Here is a 6,877-nt window from a genome sequence, read left to right as displayed (position 1 = left end):
TGTGTTATTGATGTCATGTATTTTACTTTTCATGTTATATTCCTCAAGAAAACGTTCTTATTAGTTTTGCTTTAAATAGTCAATTATTATTTGAAGATGTTAAAAAATAATGTCTTTTTGTTAACCCATGTAGTTGCCAATTCTAACACTCTTTTATCCCTTTTGTAGATCCAGTTTTCCTCCCCTTATTTTTCTTTTTCTAGAAGACCATTTAACATTTCTTTTGGTGCATATATCCTTTTGTCTGAAAAATGCATTATCCCTCTTTTTTTAGAAAAATATTTTTACTGGGCAAAAAATTCCAAGTTGACAGATATTTTCTTTCATTATTTTAAAGACGTGGCTCCACTGTTTTATGCTACTGAAAGATAAGAATTATACCAAGGTATATTATGCTAGTTAACTTACTTAATAATGCTGGGTATACTAGCATTGTTTCTGAAAAAAAAAAAGCCACTTGTCACCCTTATATTTGCTTTTTTTCCTCTTATTGCTTCTAAGGTTTTCTGTTACTGGGTTTAAGCAATATGACCTTAATGACCTTAGTGGTTCTCATCATGTTTCTTGCTCTTGCAGTTTATTAAGCTGGTTTTATCTGTGGCTTTATAGTTTCACTCAATTTGGATAATTTTCAGCTCTTATTTTATTTCTTCAAATAATTTTTGTCTTCGGTCTTCAGGAACACCATTCACACATCTAGTTGTTCAGTTAAAGTTGTCTCACAGTTCATTGTTGTCTCGATTTTTAAAAAGTTTTTCCTGTCTGTATTCTATTTTGTAAGCTTCATATTGCTAAGTTTTAATTTCACTAATATTTTCTTCTGAAGTGTCTAATCTACCATAAATTTCATCCAGTGTATTTTTTCTCTGACATTGCAGTTTTCATCTCTAGGAGACTGTGTGTATGTGTGTGTGTGTGTGTGTGCGTGTGTGTGTGTGTGTGTGTGTGTGTGACTTCTCGACTTAGGATCTTCATACTTTAATTTCTTTAACATATATATATATGTTTTCAATGCTATTTAAATGATTTTTATCATTTATTTCATTTTTAGGTCAGTTTCTATTGATTTACTTTTCTTTTCACTTGGGTAGTATTTTGCTGCTTCTTTACATATCTAGTAACTTTTTTTGGATGCTGGACATTGTGAATTTTATATTTGTAGATGTTGGATATTATTTCTTCTTGAGATTTCTTTCAGAACACAGTTACGCTATTTGAAAATAACTTGTTATTTTTGAGTCCTGCTTTCATGGCTTTAATTTTTATTTTTTCAAGAGGAAACATTGATCTAGTATTAATTTCCCTCACTGCTGAGAAAGACCCTTATCATACTCTAGCTAACAGACCAGCAAATATTTTTCTGTAAAAGAAACATGTATAATTGTATTTATATATAATAGTGCACAGTTTATGCTTGGTAAGTCATATATGATTTCTGTAACATATTTATTTGTTTCTATGTGTGTATGTTTGCTTTTTACCTCTGTTTAATATGTACAAATTATTTATCTCAAATTCTATCCCAAAATAGATCATAGGTCAGATTTGACTAACAGGCCAAAGTTGCCAAAGCCAGCTCTAACTGATCACTGGAATAAAAAGATTTTCCACTTCAGCTATTGTAAACAGGTATTATTTTCTGCCCTTTGTGAACTTTAAGTATAATTTGCCCTAATTATTTTGTGTGGTTCTTTTGCTACCCTTGTTTAGGTTTCTTATACACATTCATTAATTACATACATTAATTATATACATTAATTAATTAAAATACACATTAATTATACACATTCATTAATTAAAACTATTTACAGATTCCTAAAGAGTAGACTTTACAAATTTCCCAAGTTATTTCCATGTGCAGTTTTCTCTTTTATAGAACTCTTTCCTGTGAACTTTTTCTGCTTTGAAATCCCCAGAGCCACAGCTCTACATCTTCAATTCAGAGACTGCTGACTATTGTACCTCAACAAATTGGTCAAAAATCAATTGTAGATCCACTTCAGGACTCTTTATTCTGTTCAATCAATTCATTTGTTTATCCTCATGCCGATACCACTTTATCTTGATTGCTATAGTTTTATATTACATCCTTAAACTAAATAATATATGCCCTCCAATTTTGACAAGAAATTGTTCATATTTTTTTATTAACATGTATATTTTATATATACATGGGAGATACCAGGGAATGAGTAATTCTCATAGAGGTGAATTTGAATTACAGCTTATATAGCATCGTTAACAAAGTAAAGGAAAATTTTAGAGAAGCGACAAAACAAAGGAAAGGAACTTTGAATGTGCAGAATAGCAACTTGTGGAAAGGTAAACTAAGGGCAATTAACGGCAAGTTAGGAAAGCTGGTTAATGTAGATTCCACTGCTACCATCTCCACCGGCTAATGTTGTCTTAAAGGGTTAACATTTCTTCTCTCTGGTAGGTGAGGGCATGGAAACCCTTTGCCTTTGCACATTTATATCCTGCTTTTAGGCACATGGAGGGCAGAGTGCTTTCCTGCATCTCCTCCTTCATTGCCTTTGGCTCAATCATCCTGTATACCTTGGTGTGGCATATTCTGGTTTCCAATAGGCACAAAAGTTCCCATGTCTTACACCTTACCGGGGTTTTCAAAGCACTACTCAGATGCAGAAAATTTGATATTAACAAGGTTAAGAAGCATCAACCAACCCCTCTCTGTTTCTTGATAGCACCTTTGTTACCGGAAAGGGGCCTTTCATGCGTGTCCCTGTGAAGAGACCACCAAACAGGCTTTGTGTGAGCAACATGGCTGTTTATTTCACCTGGGTGCAGGTGGGCTGAGTGGGAAAAGAGAGTCAGTGAAGGGAGATAAGGGTGGGGCCATTTTATAAGATTTGGGTAGGTAAAGGAAAATTACAGTCAAAGGGGGTTTGTTCTCTGGCGGGCAGGAGTGGGGGTCGCAAGGTGCTCAGTGGGGGTGGTTTTTGAGCCAGGATGAGCCACAGAAAGGACTTTCACAGGGTAATGTCATCACTTAAGTCAAGGACTGGCCATTTACACTTCTTTTGTGGTGAAATGTCATCAGTTAAGGTGGGGCAGGGCATATTCACTTCTTTTGTGATTCTTCAGTTACTTCAGGCCATCTGGACATATATACGTGCAAGTCACAGGGGATGTGATGACTTGGCTTGAGCTCAGAGGCCTGACATTCCTGCCTTCTTATATTAATAAGAAAAATAAAATAAAATAGTGTTGAAGTGTTGGGGCAGCGAAAATTTTTGGGGGGTGGTATGGAGAGAGAGAATGGGTGATGTTTCTCAGGGCTGCTTCCAGTGGGATTAGGGGTGGTGTGGGAACCTAGAGTGGGAGAGATTAAGCTGAAGGAAGATTTTGTGGTAAGGGGTGATATTGTGGGGTTGTTAGAAGAAACATTTGTGTAGAATTATTGATGATGGCCTGGATACGGTTTTGTATGAATTGAAAAACTCAACGGAATAAGAGAAGGAGAAAAACAGGTATAAAAGGTCTAAGAATTGGGAGGACCCAGGACATCTGATTAGAGAGTGCCTAAGGAGATTCAGCATAGTCCTGCCAGCAAAGATTATTTATTTACTTCATGAGTTTAGAGTGGCAGTTTGGGGATAGCACCAGGAAATACCAGCTGTGATGGCTTGGAGAAACAGTGTAAACTGGCAGTGTAAACAAGAGCAGGTCATGTATGAGTAGTTGAGAACGGTGAATAGGAGTATGACTAGACAGAAGATAGTAGGGATGACAACTTTTTGGGGCACAGTCTAAGTTGGTCTGGTGTCTGGAATGAGACTGGGGCCTAATAAAAAGGAGTGTCTATACAGGAGCTTAAATGGGCTGTACCTTGTAGCATCCCAAGGACAGGCCTGAATTCTGAGAAGCGAAAGTGGTAAAAGTATTGTCCAGTCCTTTTTAAGTTGGTGGCTGAGCTTGGTGAGGCATGTTTTTAATAGACCGTTAGTCTGTCACTGAATACTAAGAGCCTGAAAAGATGCCTGGCTGATTTGACTAATAAAGGTTGGTCCGTTATCAGACTGTATAGAGGTGGGAAGGCTAAACTGAGGAATTATGTCTGACAGAAGGGAAGAAATGACTGTGTTGGCCTTCTCAGACCCTGTAGGAAAGGCCTCTACCCATCCAGTGAAAATGTCTACCCAGACTAAGATATATTTTAGTTTTCTGACTCAAGGCATGTGAGTAAAGTCAATTTGCCAGTCCTGGGCAGGGGCAAATCCCAGAGCTTGATGAGTAGGAAAGGGAGGAGGCCTGAACAATCCATGAGGGGTAGTAGAATAGCAGATGGAACACTGAGAAGTGATCTCCTTGAGGATAGATTTCCATGACGGAAAGGAAATGAGACGTTCTAAGAGACGGGCTAGCGGCTTGTAACCTACATGGAAGAGGTTATGAAATGACGACAGAATAGAATGGGACTGTGAGGCTGGAAGGAGATATTTTCCTTGGTCTAAGAACCATTTGCCTTGTGTGGGAAGAGATTGATAGGTGGAAGTTTCAGCAGGGGAGTAGGTGGGAGTGACCGATGTGAAGGAGAAAAACTGGCTGTGAGGGACAGAAGTTGGAGAGCTAGCTGCTTGTCTAGCCACCTTATCAGCATAAACATTGCCTAGAGCAATGGGATCTGATGTCTTTTGATGCCCCTTGCAGTGAATGACCCCAGCTTCCTTTGGAAGTAAAGTGGCCTTGCGTAGAGTTTTTATTAAAAAGGCATTAATGATGGAGGACCCCTTGTGTAGTGAGAAAACCTCTTTCAGCCCATATGACCACATGGTGGTGCAGAATATGAAAGGCATATTTAGAATCAGTATAGATATTGACACGTAGTCCTTTTGCAAGAGTGAGGGCTTAAGGCAACTAGTTCGGCTTGCTGAGAGGTAGTGGAGGGGGGCAGAGTGGTAACCTCAATGATAGATGTGGAAGATACTATAGCATAGCCTGCTTTTTCTGGTGAGTGGCGATTAGTCCTGGTGGAACTTCCATCAATAAACCAAGTGTGATCAGGGTGAGAAACAGGGAAGAAGGAAATGTGGGGAAAGGGGGTGAACGTCAGGTGGATCAGAGAGATGCAGTCATGAGGGTCAGGTGTGGTATCCGGAATAATGTGGGAGGCCGGATTGAAGTCCGGGCCAGGAACAGTGGTAATTGTGGGAGACTCAACAAAGAGTGAGTATAGCTGAAGGAGCTGGGAAGCAGAAATTATATGCGTCAGGTATGAGGAAGAAAATAGATTTTGGAAGTTATGAGAACTGTAGAGAGTGAGTTGAACATAGTTTGTGATTTTGAGGGCCTCTAAATGTATTAAAGCAGTGGCAGCTGCTGCACGCAGACATGAGGGCTAGGCTAAAACAGTAAGGTCAAGTTGTTTGGACAGAAAGGCTACAGGGTGTTTTCCTGGCTCTTGTGTAAGAATTCTGACCATGCTAACCATGCCTAGGAAGGAAAGGAGTTGTTGTTTTGTAGAAGGTACCGGGGTTTGAGAGATCAGTCGGACACGATTGGCAGGGAGAGCACATGTGTTTTTATGAGAATTATGCCGAGATAGGTAACAGATGAGGAAGAAATTTGGGCTTGACTGAAGTAAGGGGGGCTGTCTGTGAAGCTTTGTGGCAGTACAGCCTAGGTAATTTGCTGAGCTTGATGGGTGTCAGGGTCAGTCCAAGTGAAAGCAAAGAGAGGCTGGGATTAAGGGTGCAAAGGAATAGTAAAGAAAGCATGTTTGAGATCTAGAACAGAATAATGGGTTGTAGAGGCAGGTATTGAGGATAGGAGAGTATATGGGTTTGGCATCACGGGGTGGATAGGCAAAACAATTTGGTTGATAAGGCGCAGATCCTGAGCTAACTGTAAGGCTTGTCTGGTTTTAGGACAGGTAAAATTGGGGAATTGTAAGGAGAGTTTATAGGCTTTAAAAGGCCATGCTGTAGCAGGTGAATGATAACAGGCTTTAATCTTTTTAAAGCGTGCTGTGGGATGGGATATTGGCATTGAGTGGGGTAAGGGTGATTAGGTTTTAATGAGATGGTAAGGGGTGCATGATCTGTCACCAAGGAGGGAGTAGAGGTATCCTATACTTGTGGGTTAAGGTGGGGGGATAAAAGAGGAGGATGTGAAGGAGGCTCTGAACTGGGGGAAAAGGTGGCAATGAGGCGCAGCTGTAGCCCAGGAATAGTCAGGGAAGCAGATAATTTAGTTACAGTGTCTCGGCCTAATAAGGGAACTCGGCAGGTGGGGATAACTAAAAAGGAGTGCTTAAAAGAGTATTGTCTAAATTGGCACCAGATTTCAGGAGTTTTAAGAGGTTTACAATCCTGGTCGTCAATACCCACAACAGTTATGGAGGCAAGGGAAACAGGCCCTTGAAAAGAAGGTAATGTGGAGTGGGTAGCCTCCGTATTGATTAAGAAGGGGACAGACTTACCCTCCACTGTGAGAGTTACCCAGAGCGTCTGTGATGGTCCTGTAGGCTTCCGAGGCGATTGGGCGGTGTCAGTCTTCAGCTGCTAAGCTGAGAAGATCTGGGAAGGAATCAGTCAGAGAGCCTTGGGCCAGAGTCCTGGGGGCTCTGGGAGTGGCTGCCAGGTGAGTTGAACAGTCCGATTTTCAGTGGGGTCCCACACAGATGGGACGCAGCTTAGGAGGAATCTCAGGCTGCAGGCATTCCTTGGCCTGGTGGCCAGATTTCTGGCACTTGTAGCAAGCTCCTGGGGGAGGCAGGCCTGGAGGAACGCCTGGCCGCTGCAGTTCAGGCGTTTGGAAGTTCTTGTGTGCTGGAGATATGGCTGCGGTTTGTCTCACAGTGGAGACAAGGAATTGCCTTTTTTCTATTATTTTACACCTTGAAGGCGAGGTTAAT

The 6,877-nt window shown here is 40.7% G+C and overlaps 2 annotated features.

The window, feature by feature from the left end:
• Positions 2,107-3,000: an enhancer, noted in NCBI's record as "OCT4-NANOG-H3K27ac hESC enhancer chr6:102555818-102556711 (GRCh37/hg19 assembly coordinates)". NCBI's record gives its function as "activates a minimal SCP1, AML or CMV promoter by ChIP-STARR-seq in naive H9 embryonic stem cells {active_cell/tissue: H9 hESC(naive)}" and the evidence as "EXISTENCE:reporter gene assay evidence [ECO:0000049][PMID:30033119]".
• Positions 3,001-3,895: an enhancer, noted in NCBI's record as "OCT4-NANOG-H3K27ac hESC enhancer chr6:102554923-102555817 (GRCh37/hg19 assembly coordinates)". NCBI's record gives its function as "activates a minimal SCP1, AML or CMV promoter by ChIP-STARR-seq in naive H9 embryonic stem cells {active_cell/tissue: H9 hESC(naive)}" and the evidence as "EXISTENCE:reporter gene assay evidence [ECO:0000049][PMID:30033119]".

This window comes from Homo sapiens, chromosome 6 (genome assembly GCF_000001405.40).
Source record: "Homo sapiens chromosome 6, GRCh38.p14 Primary Assembly".
NCBI classification, from domain to species: Eukaryota; Metazoa; Chordata; class Mammalia; order Primates; family Hominidae; genus Homo; species Homo sapiens.
This window is presented reverse-complemented; position numbering and strand designations above follow the sequence as displayed.